General features: G+C 43.7%; 1 protein-coding gene across 1 annotated transcript in view; it reads left to right on the forward strand.

Moving 5' to 3' along the window:
- The first annotated feature begins 137 nt into the window (after nucleotides 1–137).
- Nucleotides 138–15,735, forward strand: part of SDC2 (syndecan 2) — a 117,978-nt gene continuing 102,380 nt past the window's right edge. Inside the window, exon 1 of the mRNA NM_002998.4 lies at nucleotides 138–656. Coding sequence (NP_002989.2) covers nucleotides 597–656 — 60 coding nt within the window. The 5' untranslated portion in view covers nucleotides 138–596. The remainder of the gene's footprint in view (nucleotides 657–15,735) is intronic.

A 15,735-nucleotide genomic window follows, 5' to 3' on the forward strand; every position in this document is an offset into this window, starting at 1 on the left:
AAGCAGGCTCAGGAGGGAGGGAGCCAGAGGAAAAGAAGAGGAGGAGAAGGAGGAGGACCCGGGGAGGGAGGCGCGGCGCGGGAGGAGGAGGGGCGCAGCCGCGGAGCCAGTGGCCCCGCTTGGACGCGCTGCTCTCCAGATACCCCCGGAGCTCCAGCCGCGCGGATCGCGCGCTCCCGCCGCTCTGCCCCTAAACTTCTGCCGTAGCTCCCTTTCAAGCCAGCGAATTTATTCCTTAAAACCAGAAACTGAACCTCGGCACGGGAAAGGAGTCCGCGGAGGAGCAAAACCACAGCAGAGCAAGAAGAGCTTCAGAGAGCAGCCTTCCCGGAGCACCAACTCCGTGTCGGGAGTGCAGAAACCAACAAGTGAGAGGGCGCCGCGTTCCCGGGGCGCAGCTGCGGGCGGCGGGAGCAGGCGCAGGAGGAGGAAGCGAGCGCCCCCGAGCCCCGAGCCCGAGTCCCCGAGCCTGAGCCGCAATCGCTGCGGTACTCTGCTCCGGATTCGTGTGCGCGGGCTGCGCCGAGCGCTGGGCAGGAGGCTTCGTTTTGCCCTGGTTGCAAGCAGCGGCTGGGAGCAGCCGGTCCCTGGGGAATATGCGGCGCGCGTGGATCCTGCTCACCTTGGGCTTGGTGGCCTGCGTGTCGGCGGAGTCGGTGAGTGGGCCAGGCGGAGGATGCGCGCGCCGTTTAGGGTGTTTGAAGCTACGAGAGGAGCCCGCAGGGAATAGGGGAGCGCCACCTGGGGAACCCCCAGTCCCCAAGTATACACCGGAGATCCGCTGGGACAAATGCGCTCGTCCGGTCACCCTTTCCCCCTCTTCCCTTCCTCAGAAAAGCGCTGCTCGCTGGCGTTACCCCGCGGTCCGCGGGAATGGGGGCACCGAGAATTGCGGTTTGGTCTAGCCGCAGAGGCCCCTGAAGTCACTCCCAACTTCTTCGCCCTCGGCGGGTCTTGCTGCGTGGTCTGGGAAGGACGGAGGGGAAAGGGTGGCAGGAGGGGGGAGCCTGGGTCGGGCCCGCGAGGGAACGGCTCCACTCCGCGCGCTCCTCGAGACCAGGGATGACCTGGAAACTTCGGGGTCCCTTCCTCCGCACACCATCCCCCCCGCGCCAGCTTTCCTGTTTGACTGCATGCAAGTTCTGGGGAGATGGGGGCCAGATTTAAGAGACCCGCGAGTGTCCAGAGAGAAAAGTTTGCAAAAGTTCTTTTGTTTGATGCTCCCTGCGGCTAGGGCGAGGTAACCGACACTACGTGGAATCGCAGTAGGCGATCCCTCAAGGGGATACTGGGGGAGGCACGGAACGCGTCCGAAAATGCTGGGACGCCGGCCACTGGATTCCCAGTCCTGCGGCGACCCCCTCCTCGTTGAGGGGTGGAGGTTGCACCGCGGGGCGTCAGGGACGGGAGGACATTTTCATAGGAGTTACACGGGAGTGCCGCAAGCAGGGCGAGGCGGGGTACGTGTGACACGGCGCTCGGCTTCGGGTCGCCTGGCCGCTGGGGGACAGAGGCTTCCCTCCCGCCACGCTCGCCCTCTCTGGCCCTGGCGGGGCGCTTCTGGGGCCGGGAGGAGTCTCGTCTCCGGCGGAGCGCCTGCCGGCACCCAGCTTCCCTCCCCCGCCCTGGCGGTGGGAACTTGATTTCTCCTTTTGGTCGCGCTTCGGGGGCTGGAGCTTGTTTCCCCACGTCGCCCAATGAGCGCCCTCTAAAGGGAACTGCCTCCTTGGCCTCCTCTCGTCCGCAGCTGCCTCCACCTGGGCGCCAGGAGCTCTGTCGGGCCAGGTGGAAGCTTGAGCACCCCAGATTTCGTCTGCAGCCTCAGTGCCCTCTGGGGTCTCAGGGAGTGCGGCTGTTTCTGGCCCTTCTGGTTCCCCACGTCCTCTCCCTTTGCCATTTAATAACGTGTCAATTTCTAATTAATTGAATGGTCTTTTCAAAGACAAATTATATCATCTTAAGGTCTTTTAGGTAGTTTTATGAGTTTGAGTCTCCCTCCCCCCCTTTTTTGTGCTGAGGCTAATTTAGGACTGGGAAACCTCTTTGGCATCGAGCGGCAGATGGACATTTTTAATCAGTGTGGGAGCCTCTGTGTGTGCTAGCAGATCCCCATACGTTCTTTGTGGTTGGAGAGCATGTAGAATTGGAAACTGTACAGACTACATGAGTATTTTGGGTGCTCAGGTTGTAAAATAGAACTCCCAGCCTTATCAGTGTTTCCCTTTGGCAAATGATGGTTTAATCCGTTGGTATTAGTTATCTCCCAGCCAGTTAGGATGAACTTTGGCTCTTTGTACACCAAAAGGCAGCAGTTCTCTTGTTTATTTCAGATGAGCGTTGTTGCTCCTCTTGTTGCAAAACAGGGCAAAGGGACTTCATCTAATAAATTTCAAGAGCCTGCCTAAAAAACTGCACATGGTTAAGGAGGCCCTTTTTTTTTGCTGAGTCTTATTCATGGATTTGCTAGGAAATGTTACTGTTTTGGGATTCTGGAGAAAGAATGTTTCTGTCTTCTGCTCCTCTGGGTTTTTGCATAAATCTACCAGTGCTCCTTAAGGAAGTTTTTTGGCCGAACTATATACCTGTCCTCCCCGGTGACAGCTTTCCCCTGAACTGTGTATCTTTGGGGTTCTAATATTTCTCAATTTGAACCAGAACTGGATGCTTTCCGAGTGAACTGCTTCATTGTGATAGACACTGTTTTCAGTAATTGGAAAATCATCCAAAAAGGGTGATTAGATATTTATAAAATGTCAACTTAGAGACTAGCAGAGAATCTTTGTTAGGCAGTGAGTCAGTCTTTCTAAATAGAAGCTGTTTCAAGGCCCAGAATGGCTAACAGTCCATTTAAATTACTTTTCAGTCTCCGTTTGTTTCATGTATAGCAGCAAAAATATAAATGAAGTCAAAAGACTGAATTTAAAAAAAAATTAGCAATTACAGAATATTATTTCCAGGACTTTGCATTTTAATTTGAAAACTGCAACTGTTTCCTGGGATTTAGAAGTAGTGATTTGGGTTTAAAGTCTCCCTTTAAAGGAAGAAAGGAAAACTGCCTACAGTTAGTGAATTCTTAAGTTTTATACTTAGCTCTGGGGGTAAAAAAGAGGTTCTCAGGAACTAAGGCTCAAAACTGCCTATGAAAAGGAACTGGTAGCTGTTCCTTTATGGATCCTGGAGGCAGCTGGGAAAGCCTGTTCCTAGTGATCCATTCATACTTTCCACTGGCAGGTTAGGACTTTGGCTGCGGAGCACCAGGCAAGGGGAAAATCTGACTGAGTGTGGCAGTAGTGATATGCTGCTGGTTTTCTGTCCATTTTGTACATGACTGTTTATCTTTAGAAATAATATATTGCAGACTGCTATAAACACATAATTTGAACTGGAAATATGTTTAAGAAAAGGAAGTGTTTTGAACTAGAGGAATTTTATAAACATTCTTAGATGTCTGTAAATTAAAAGAAACTGTCAAGTCATTTGGGCCCATGCATTATCTCTCGGTGTATTATGAAAGGCAGGCTCTGGAAAGTTTGCATTAGAAGGGTAACTAAAATCGAAATCATGTAACTTTGCAGTTCTTTAGAAAATATAGTTTGGCTGTTTTATGAGTGAAACAAATTGCTTTTGCTAGGGAATTTTATAAAAACAAGGGCTCTTTCTCTCTTAGTTGGGTATTAGCAGAAGGAGGATGTCATTTAAGAAGGAAAGATCTTGAAAGATCAGGCTTGCAGAAAATGGATGTCTGAGAAGCAATTTGAGCATGCCCTTCAGCTTCTGCTTTTAGGACCTGATATGTCTAGTTTTGATGGTAACCACCCTTCGAGGGGTAGCCTACCCTGTGTAATATGATCACTTAAATGGCGCCTTGGATAATCATTAGTTTGGAAAGGATTTCAAAAGGTGAACTGGTTTGTTCCCTGGGTGGAACTAGTTTTCAAGTCTCCAAAAGCCCCCAGAGACCTGACTGGCCAGCTAGAGGTGGCTTGGAGTCTCCTTAGGTTGGCAAGGCCCCTGAAGCTGACCCAGTCACACAGAGCCCCACCAGCCCTGTCATTAAGGTTTATAGCAAGTCCAGTCAAGCCACTGTGCTGTTGGCATACCTGCTGGTGGGGATCCAGTTGTCCTGTGAGGAATGCCATCTGGGTTTAGATTCTCACTAGATTGTCCTTCTTCCATTGCCAAAAATCAAACTAAAAGATTTTGCCCATCCTTTTCTTCTTCCCAAGGCAGAAGGGTGCATTGCAGAATCTCCAAACCACTGAATTCTTTTCGTGGACTAGAGGCCAAAATAAAGTCTTAGAGAAAAGCCAGAAGTAATGAAGAAGAATCTTTGCTAAAACCAATCTACTCTTATTTAACTTTTTTAGTCAACTGTGACAGTACTATCATTTTCATTCTAATCATTTGGATTTAAATCTTGAAGAAGCCCTGGACTCATTCATCTTTGTTGGTTTCCACGTCCAGTCTGCCTCTAAGTCCAGCTGTGCATTCATTCTGCAGATATTTATTTCATACCTACTAGGTGCTTGAGGTAAAGCAGTGAGCAAACCAGGCAGATATCCCCCTGCCTTCTTGGAGCTTGCATTCTAGTGATCTTTCCGTTCATTTTTTCATGCCTTCAGTGGCCAGCGTGGAACTTCCTCAGGAGTGCCAACCGGCCCCAGAATGCCCTGGCCCATGGGAACCTGCACTTAAAGATGCAGCACCAACAGGTGTTTACCCAGCTCCTGACCTGAGCTCAGCACTGCAAAGAAGTCGGGGTTTGGAAATGTGGTCCCTTCCTGCAGCGCTAATCTTTTTTTTTTTTCCTCTTGAGATGGAGTCTCACTCTGTCACCCAGGCTGGAGTACAATGGCACTCTGCAACCACCACCTCACTGCAGCCACCTCACTGCAACCACCACCTCCCAGGTTCAAGCGATTCTCCTGCCTCAGCCTCCCGAGTAGCTGGGACTACAGGCACATGCCACTGCACCTGGCTAAATTTTGTATTTTTAGTAGGGATGGGGTTTCAACGTGTTGGCCAGGCTGGTCTCCAACTCCTGACCTCAGCTGATCCACCGCCTCGGCCACCCAAAGTGCTGGGATTATAGACGTGAGCCACTATGCCTGGCCATTGGTCTCTTCCTGCAGCACTAATCTTGATGGGACAGAAAATTTCAAATGAAGAGCTTTCCCTCTTTTTTTCTTCCTTGGGGGCATGCCAGCTTGTGCTTCTATGTCAGTAGCCTTGTAGTTGCCATTCCTGGCCCAGACACTTGCATGCAGTTTGGTTTGTCCTCCACCACTTTGATCATGTTGCCCATGGTCTAGACACCTCCGTGTCCTTGTTATCATGGCATATAGTCTGTATGCCTCTGCTGGATTTATAAGCGGCCCCATAATAGCCTTCCTTTCTGGTTACCCCCTTGATCACTTTCCACCACATCTCCCAGCCCTGGCCCATTGATATCACTATCATGAACACTCCCTGGACATTGCTACTTTTTCAGTGTTTCTCCTTTTAAATGCTATTGATTAAATGCAAGCTCCAAATACCTTTTCATGGCTGATCCAGCCCTGTTGTTTTTAATCCTTCTGTAAATAGCAAGGCATACTGATGATCAGAATCATTGAAAGTATGTGAAAATACAGATTTCAGGCCTCCTCTCAGACTTACACAATCAGAAACCTGAATGGGGGTGGGAGTGTGGGGGAAACTGTATTTTTATAAAGCGACTGAGATGATTCTAATGAATCAGACTAATTTGGGAATCGCTGGTCTAGATCACAGCATTACCCCTTAATTATGTGCTATTCTATGTTACTACTAGAGTTTTCAGCAGTAGCTGGGCTTAGAATACAAAGGGCTTGGGCTTGGGAGGTGGACAAGTCTGGGTTCAGATGCTGGTACCTTGCCACTTAATGTGTCAGAACTTGGACAGTATATTAAAGCTCTGAGTCACTTAAAAAAGTGTGTGTGTGTAAATTGGACCTAAGAATGCCTTTATAACATGACTGTTGTGAAGATGAAATGAAGGGAGCATATGAATGGTGCTTGAGGCACGGAAGATAGGACATTTTTTTTTCTTCCTTTCCTCTCTTGGCCTTTTTTTTTTTGGCAATGAAATGAATGAAATGAGGGAGCCATGTCAGATGTTCTTACCTCTCTGACATTCTAAATAGGTGAATTTTCTCTCCCATCAAGGTTAGTGCTATAGGAAGAAACCATGTTTCCAAATCTCCTACTCCTGTGCAGTGCTGAGCTGGGTAAACATCTGTTGACACTGCATGCTGAAGTGCAGATACCCGTGGGCCTGGACATTTTGGGGTTGGTTGGCACTCCTGAAGAAGTTTCACGCTGGCCACTGAAGGCATTATGGTTCAGGGTCAACTGAATACACCAGCCCCCAGTGGACCTGGGCTAGTTGTCCAGTTTTGATGCCTCTGCACTCAGTGTCATCAGCATTGCAGGGTTGGTGTCAAGAATAAAGAAGACATTGATGTAACGTCTTGACACATCAGCTGTGCACAGTCACACCTCCTCCTCTTCCCTGAGGCTGTGCTGAGATTCCAGCACATGGGAAGGAGAGAGTTAGAATTTAGTCTGTATCATGCGTTGGTATGCCGTTGGTCATTTAGAATGAGGTGGCAGGGGTAGTGAGTATATTTTGGGGATCTGGGGGCAGAAAAGGGATTATTTTTATTTTTTAAGTGTGGAAATGTGGCCTGGCGCGATATCTCATGCCTGTAATCCCAGCACTTTGGGAGGCCGAGGTGGGCCAATCACCTGAGGTCAGGAATTCGAGACCAGCCTGGCCAACATGGTGAAACCCCGTCTCTACTAAAAATATAAAAATTAGCCGGGCGTGGTGATGGGCACCTATAATCCCAGCTACTTGGGAGGCTGAGGCAGGAGAATTGCTTGAACACAGGAGACGGAGGTTGCAATGAGCCGAGATCATGCCATGGCACTGCAGCCTGGGCGACAGAGTGAGACTCCATCTCAAAAAAAAAAAAAAAAAAAAGAGTGGAAATGCATTAAATTTCTTCTTTTAGCCATTGGGCTTTAGGTCTTACTATTAAAAATCTCAACTGCATTTTGATAAGTCTGTTTCTAGGCAGCATTAGCTTTAGCAACAAGGATGGAGGGGTGAATGCCTCTGAATGGGAGAGGACACTGTTGAAATAGAATTGTGAATGTCTGTTTTTCTCAAGTATCTCAAAGAATTGGTAGGAGTGGGAGAAGAGAGAAGCCTTGAAATCTTTGGAGATTTTCCATTTGCATTTCACATCAGCAGAGTGAAGCCAATGAGTATGCAGCTGGTGGCGTGATAGCCAATGCATAGTCTTGGAAAAATGGAAAAATGTTATTAAAGACATGTTTTCACAGTTTTTTTCTCTACTATTCAGTCTATTTTGTGAAAAATGTCACAAAGACTCAGTAAGTATGCTCTCTACAAAGCATTTTGGTGTTTTTTTTTATGATTACACAGGTATATTAAATACAAGTAACCGTGATGTTTAAGGAGTGTGTGCAATTAATAGAATTTAGTCTCATGGTATAAGAATGACACACGGGACAAGATACGCAATTATTAAAGGAAAATTTTTTTTAAGGGAAAAGTTAAATACGTATTTCTTTTTTTTTTTTTTTTTTTTTTTTTTTTTGAGACAGAGTCTCACTCCGTCGCCCAGGCTGGAGTGCAGTGGCATAAATGAGGCTCACTGCAACCTCCTCCCCCCGTTCAAGTGAATCTCCTGCCTCAACCTCCCGAGTAGCTGGGATTACAGTGCACACCACCACGCCTGGCTATTCTTTTTTTGTATTTTTAGTAGAGACGGGATTTCACCATGTTGGCCAGGCTGGTCTTGAACTCTTGACCTCAACTGATCCGCCTGCCTCAGCCTCCCAAAGTGCTGGGATTGCAGACGTGAGCCACTGCAACCAGCTGAGTTAAGTATGTATTTATGTGTAATTTGTTATTAAATATAAATACAGTAGACTAAATATACAACATTTTAAGTCAAGGCAAAAGCAAGGTTTTATACACATGTAATTAACTGTCTTAATCCCTGTGAGACCTCAGTTTTCTCATCTCTAAAATGATGGAGTTGAACGAGAAAAACTCTCTCTCCTTAATATTTACTTTTTCTGCACTTTAGGGTGTGGTAGGAGAAATGTGAAGATTAACTTAATAAGTAATTATTAATCCCCTGTCAAATACTTCTAATTTTATTATTGAAACATGGAATTTATTCACCTTACAGAAAGGCAAGTAATTTCTAATAGCTCATGGTAACCTGTTACCTTGAACTGAGTGTTCATTGTTTACTAGGAGTGGTATACATTGTCCTGCGTATTCGTGATCTAATGTCTATTTGTATTAGTCTGTTCTCACTCTGCTAATAAAGACATACCCAAGACTAGGTAATTTATAAAGGAAAGATGTTTGATGGACTCACAGTTCCACATGGCTGGGGAGACCTCACAATCATGGTGGAAGGCAAAGGAGAAGCAAAGGCACGTCCTACATGGTGGCAGGCAAGAGAGCTTGTACAGGGGAACTCCCATTTATGAAACCACCAGATCTTGTGAGACTTACTACCACAAGAAAAGTATAGGGGAAACCGCCCCCATGTTTCAGTTATCTCCACCTGGCCCCGCCCTTGAAATATGGGGATTATTACAGTTCAAGGTGAGATTTGGGTGAACACACAGCCAAACCATATCACTAGTATTTTTTTATATATTTTCTGATACAAGCCAGTGTAACATAAAGAACAGCTGCGTGGTAAAAATAACTTTCATTCTAGATAGAAGACTACATGACTTGATATACTGGGGGTCTTTTTAAACTATAAATCTCATAAAGTGTTTTAGTCTCCTCATATGGTTTCTGGCCTGGATCTCCATTTCCAGAGTGGGGCTTTTAACTGGTGCCTTCCGTTTGGTCCCTCTCTAGAGCACTTGAGCCTGGTCTGAGTACTGTGCAGACCACAAGCAAGAATCTAAATGAGCAGACTATGGTAGTGTTGCCTGGGTTTGGATACACTTATTATGTAACCTTGGGCAAGTTTTTTAACCTTCTGGGCTCAGTTTTCTCATCTGTAAAACTGAATATCCTAAAATAAGTTTTTAGGATTATGTGAGACACAATAAGTAGGGACTTTTTAGCATAAGGGAATGTCCATGCGTTGTGTCACATGCTAGTTATAATTCCTGGCTTTCTGCTTCTCTGAAGAATAAGGGCTTGGCACACACATTAGTTGGGCTCATCTGATAAGCTCTAGCCCAGAGGGTGGCTCAGCATATGCATGCTAAGGCCTACTTTTTCATAACAGGGGCTTTCTTCTTGTCTTGGGGTAGACTAGTTCTACGCTGAGATATTGGGAATATGTTTGTAGTCAGCTTTTCTCTAAAAGTGGATGATGTGAGAAAATATGCCATTTATTATTTCTGGCTGATGAAAGGTTCCTTACAGGGACAGGACAAATCCGTGTTAAGATGTGAAAAGCTCATCTTTCCCAGTAATTTTACCTCCACAAATCTGTCCAAAGGAAATCATTACCAGGTAAATAGTATTTAATGTCTTTGTTGAAGTCTCTTACTTATAATAGTTAAAAAAATGGAAACAACCCAAGTGTACAATAATAGAGTAATTGTTAAATAAGATTCTAATTTAGACACTGAATATCATGTGGCCATTAAAGATTTATTTGAAGGGTATTTATAACTTAGAAACTATAGTACACAAAAAGTTAGATATAAACCTATGTATAGTGAGACCTTGGTTATATTTTAAAAGGTGTGTGTGTGTATAAAGATAATGTATATATACAAATCCATACATGTCATAGAACTGTGTAGATACACATACACAAACATACACAGCATGAATACAGGTAAAACTAGGAAAATCAGAATAAGATTGGTAGATTGTATCAATATCAATATCATTGTTGTGATGTTTACTGTAGTTTTATAAATGTTACCATTGGCGGAAACTAGGAAGGGGCACAAGAGATCTTTGTATTATTTCTTACACTGTGTGTGAGTCTATAGTTATCTCAACAAAAATTTCAATCAAAAAATGGCACCAGAGCTAGATTGTTGTTTAAGTAAGTTCTGCTGATCCTTCAGAGAAAGATATGTTATAAAGCTCAGAGAATGATAGAAGGCTGTTCTTTCTCATTTTAGGAGGTTAGCATCACTCTATGTCAAAACCAGACAAGAAGAGCAGAAAAAACAAACCTATAGGCCAATGTCATCTATATTAGATGTCAAAATTTTAAATAGAGTATTATTAAATTGAATACAGCAGTTTATTAAAAGAATAATGATGAGCCCAATTGGGATTTTTCCAAGGACAGTTTCAACATCAGAAAAGCAATGCAGGTATTAACAGTTTAAGGGAGATAACAATATGATCATCTCAACAGATGCAGAAAAAGCATCTGACCAAAGTACATGTGAAAGTATTAATATAAAGGTTCCCAAATTCTGGTTAACTGAAGGCATATTATATTTGGCTAGTACATCTGTGCTTCGGACTCAATTCACTTGACATGTTTAGGAACCAAAAGGCCTCTGTTTACAAAGTTGTTAGGCAACAGTCTCTAGTTGCATGAGTGACAGGTGTGTGACAACCCAATAAAGGATGGGCCATGACATATATAGATTCTAATTCATATGGAGTTGTTCTAGCATTGCCCAGGTTCACTGTGTACTCTCCCAAATTAAGAAAATGCAAGAGATGGTTTTGAATGTTTTAGAATCAGATAAATTGGGGTTCAGTTTCTGGTATTACCACTTAAAAGCCATGAGAAGTCTCTTATCATCTCCATGCTTGTTTCTTCAGTGTGAAACTGGGATTAGAATATTTTGCTTTTTGGTTATTTTGAAGATTAGCCTCAATAATGACTAAAATCTTCTAACACAAAGCTTGACCCATAGTAGGTGATTTAAACCTGTTGGTTTCTCTTTTCTTCCATCTTTAAGTTTTGTGATTCTGCAGTATATTATATGTTTATGTATAAATATATACGCATATGTTTTGTGTTTCTCACTTGCATCCTGACTCTTAACACTATGGGACATATATTTTCACAAATTTAGAACTGGTTTTTATTTTTATTTTGTATTTTTTTTGTGTGTGTGAGCAACAAGGCTGTTTATTTCACCTGAGTGCAGGCAGGCTGAGTCCGAAAAGAGAGTCAGCGAAGGGAGATAGGGGTGGGGCCGTTTTATAAGATTTGGGTAGGTAAAGGAAAATTACAGTTAAAGGGGGGCTGTTCTCTGGCAGACAGGTGTGGGGGTCACAAGGTGCTCAGTAGGGGAGCTTTTGAGCCAGGATGAGCCAGGAGAAGGAATTTCACAAGATAATGTCATCAGTTAAAGCAGGAACAGGCCATTTTCACTTCTTTTGTGGTGGAATGTCATCATAAAACTGGTTTATTTTTAGTCACGCAAGTTATGATGCTTAATTATATTTTGTATTTCCCCTGTCACCCATATTTCCTGAATAATACTTAGCTAAAACTTGCATACAAGTTGGAAATTTAGTTAAGACTGGAAAATCTTTGGTAGTACTTGGATTATAATTAAAATACTTAAAGAAGGTCAGCATCGGAACCCTAATTATTTTTATTATTTTTATTTTTTTTTGAGACAGGGTCTCGCTCTGTCGCCCAGGCTGGAGTGCAGTGGTGCGATCTCGGCTCACTGCAGCCTCTGCCTCCCAGGTTCAAGCCATTCTCCTGCCTCAGCCTTCTGAGTAGCTGGGACTACAGGTGCACCACCACACGCAGCTACTTTTTGTATTTTTAGTAGAGACAGGGTTTCACCATGTTGGCCAGGATGGTCTCAATCTCCTGACCTCGTGATCTCCCTGCCTTGGCCTCCCAAAGTGCTGGGATTACAGGCATAAGCCACCGCGCCCGGCCTGGAACCCTACATTTTAAACACTGTTTTATATAAATTTACTAATGAATTAAAATCTTAACTTTATTTATGTCCCACTTCTGAACTCGCTTAAATAAGAATGGTGTTTTGATTTGATTATTAGATTTGATTAGGTATTGTGATTATGCTGATTAGTTATTGAATTAAGTTTTGTACTCGATAAATCAGTTTAACAATGGACACACGTTACTATAAGCCAACAAAGGACAAAGCTCTATGTTGGTCCTGCAAGTTAAAAAGAAATTATGACATGGTACTCACCTTCAAGTAACTACTGTCTACCTTATGATTATTTAGAGAATTGAAAATGAGTTGGGCCAGCACTTAAAATATGTGTTATATGTAAAATATGCATCAGTTTATGTTGAATCTAGTTCGGCATTTGTACAATCAAAATTGCCAAAAAACCACAATGGAGAATAAGAAGAACCCCTTGTAGAAGAGAAGTCACTGGTCTCCTGGAAAAGCAAAACTTTCCTAAAACCTTCCTTGAAGTGGCACAGTATGTTGGAGAAAAAGGAGAATTCTGTTGATGACTTGGAGACACTTGATTTTCATATGTTTCTCTTTTTCCCAATCTTCTCTTCAAAGAAAGACTTCCAAGTGGTAAAATGTACAAAAGGTAGAAAGAGTAAGAAATTGTTTAGAACCTGAATGATCTGTTGATATTTCTATCAGGGGAGAAAGTAACCTTATATTTCAACCAGTCTTGATTCTCCATATTCTATAATCTTTGGGGTCTTAAAAGTGAGAGCTGGGCCTTTGTATATATCATATGTAATCGGGTAAAAAGTATACATTTATAATATATACTTATATATTATACACATCATATATTATATACATTACATATATGTATCCGGTGAAAACTTATAAGAGACGGAGTCTCATTCTGTTGCCCAGGCTGCAGTGCAGTGGTGTGATTATGGCTCACTGCAACCTCGATCTCCTGGGCTCAAGGCATTTTACTACCTCAGCCTCCTGAGTAGCTAGGACTACAGGCACCAGTCCTGGCTGAGTTTTTGTTGTTGTTGTTCACATGGGGTTTCACTATGTGGCCCAGGCTGTGGACCTTATAGTAGGTGTTCAGTTAGATCAAATAGCCTTAGCTGGCCGGGCACGGTGGCTCACGCCTGTAATCCCAGCACTTTGGGAGGCTGAGGTAGGTGGATCATGAGGTCAGGAGATCCAGACCATCCTGGATAACAAAATGAAACTGTCTCTACTAAAAATACAAAAAATTAGCTGGGTGTGGTGGCGGGCGCCTGTAGTCCCAGCTACTCGGGAGGCTGAGGTGGGAGTATGGCGTGAACCCGAGAGGTGGAGATTGCGGTGAGCCGAGATCACGCCACCGCACTCCAGCCTGGGCAACAGAGCGAGACTCTGTCTCAGGAAAAAAAAAAAAAAAAAAAAGATAGCTAAGTAATCAAAGAGGTATAAAAGTGTTGGGATAATTCTCACTGTATTCTTTTGGATTTTGCTTTTTTAGTTTTTGTAACAACGGATTTTAGAGCTGGAATGGACTTTTAAAAGGAAACACATCCAGAGAGGTTAAGTGATTTATCCAAGATTACCTAGGTAATTAGTGGCAGAGTTGTAAATTTAGCCTACGCTGTTTTATTAGTGTATTTTCTTATAAAACATTCCTTTTCTGGCTGCTTCTACTCCCTCATTCCCCACATTAATGATTAGCACCTAATGCACTTATTTCTGGCACATGTTTGACAAATAAATGAAATACCATGAAACATACATTTTACGTTATACATTTAGCATCAGTGTGGTTAGTGGGTTTTGTGCAGAATCCTTTGGTGTTTAGATACTTTTTCTATTTCCAGCAAAACTGTGCTCCAACTAATTCCTTTACTTGCTGGTGAAACTTCAGGCTAATTATGGGAAGACAGTTGAGAGGACTGAGATTTGGAAGACCCAGAGACTGAAATAGAGTTGATTTGTAAGTCTTAGGAAGATTGTGGAGATTTATAGATAGAAAAGGAGATAAAAGCTTCCTGGAGATAAGAATCGGGACCAGAAGCAAAATCCTCATGAATTAATACTGCATTTTCTGGGGGAAAGAAGGCTGCTATTGTAGTTAAGAGAAAACGAACATTCCTTGGATTTTTATGCTAAAAATATGTCAGTGCCTTCCAGGAGAGAGTCTGATGCACTTACAGCCCAGGTAGAAGTGCTTTTTTACCCAATTCCTTTTGCCAATCTTAGATGTAGGCTCCTCTTTTCTCCCAAGAGTTTCCTCTTGAATATTGGCCGGCTGTGGTGGCTCACGCCTGTAATCCCAGCACTTTGGGAGGCAGAGGCGGGTGGATCACGAGGTCAGGAGTTCAAGACCAGCCTGGCCAACATGGTGAAACCCTGTCTCTACTAAAAATACAAAAATAGGCCAGGCGCGGTGGCTCATGCCTGTAATCCCAGCACTTTGGGAGGCCGAGGCGGGTGGATCACGAGGCCAGGAGATCAAGACCATCTTGGCTAACACAGTGAAACGCCATCTCTACTAAAAATACAAAAAATTAGCCGGGCATGGGGGCGGGCGCCTGTGGTCCCAGCTACTTGGGAGGTTGAGGCAGGAGAATGGCATGAACCCGGGAGGCGGAGCTTGCAGTGAGCAGAGATCGCGCCACTGCACTCCAGCCTGGGCAACAGAGTGAGACTCCGTCTCAAATAATAATAATAATAATAATAATAATAATAATAATAATAATAATAATTAGCCGGGTGTGGTCGCGGGCACCTGTACTCCCAGCTCCTCAGGAGGCTGAGGCGGCAGAATGGCTTTAACACAGGAGGCGGAGGTCGCAGTGAGCAGAGATTGAGCCACTGCACTCCAGCCTGGGTGACAGAGCAAGACTCCATCTCAAAAAAAAGAAAAAAAAAGATTATTGGTTTATAAATTTTATCATAACACAAATGTATTTGAGTCAAGCTTTTTCAGAAAAATAAGTCTGTGAGATATTTTTAAGGAAAGAATTTTATTAAAAGGCAGTAACATTAAAAATTACCATTACCACAGCCTTCTCCTACTATAGATAGGCATTTTCCATTCATTGTCTATAACTGTCTCACAACTGCTAGGCGGTATTACTTGCCAAGGCTGCATTTTATGTGGCCCAGCACAAGTTAGAGCCTCAGTTTTTCTAGCTTTAAATAGTCTTTCTATGATACTGTAATCTTTCAAGAGAGCAGTGAAAGTGTCTAACTGTATCACCAACTGTTTAATGTAGTCCAATGGGTACAACCCTGGATCATGAAGTGTCTAATGGTTGCAGCCTCAAATCATGAAGTATCTAATGGATGGTTGCAGCCCCGAATCATGAAGTGTCAGAATCTTCCTTTTCATTGGTTGGCCTAATCTTCCAGGTCACTGATATTCTGATTTCTTTACCAACTTTTAGCATATTGCTTTAATGGCTTCTCTCTGCAAACTTCAGTCTGGTAATGGGAGAACTAAGAGGTAGAATTAATGGAACCTCTCTAAATCTCAGCTCTGCCAATTTCTGGACTTGGGCAGGTGATTTAACCTCTCTATGCTTCCATTTTCACATCTGTATAAAGGAGATTAGTCATAGTAGCCACCTCATAGAGGTGTTGTGAGGGCTAATGCCTTAATTAATGGGTGTCAAGCAGTAATAAGAGTGCGCAGGATAGAGCCTGCGCTAGACTCTCAGTGTTGATGATGATTGAAATGGACAGCTAATTGGATGTACTGACCAAAGAAGACAGTGTCAATAGTCTTTTGAGGTTTTGAACATGAGGCAGAGAAGACTGATGGTGCCA

This window comes from Homo sapiens, chromosome 8, assembly GCF_000001405.40.
Source record: "Homo sapiens chromosome 8, GRCh38.p14 Primary Assembly".
Classification (NCBI taxonomy): Eukaryota; Metazoa; Chordata; class Mammalia; order Primates; family Hominidae; genus Homo; species Homo sapiens.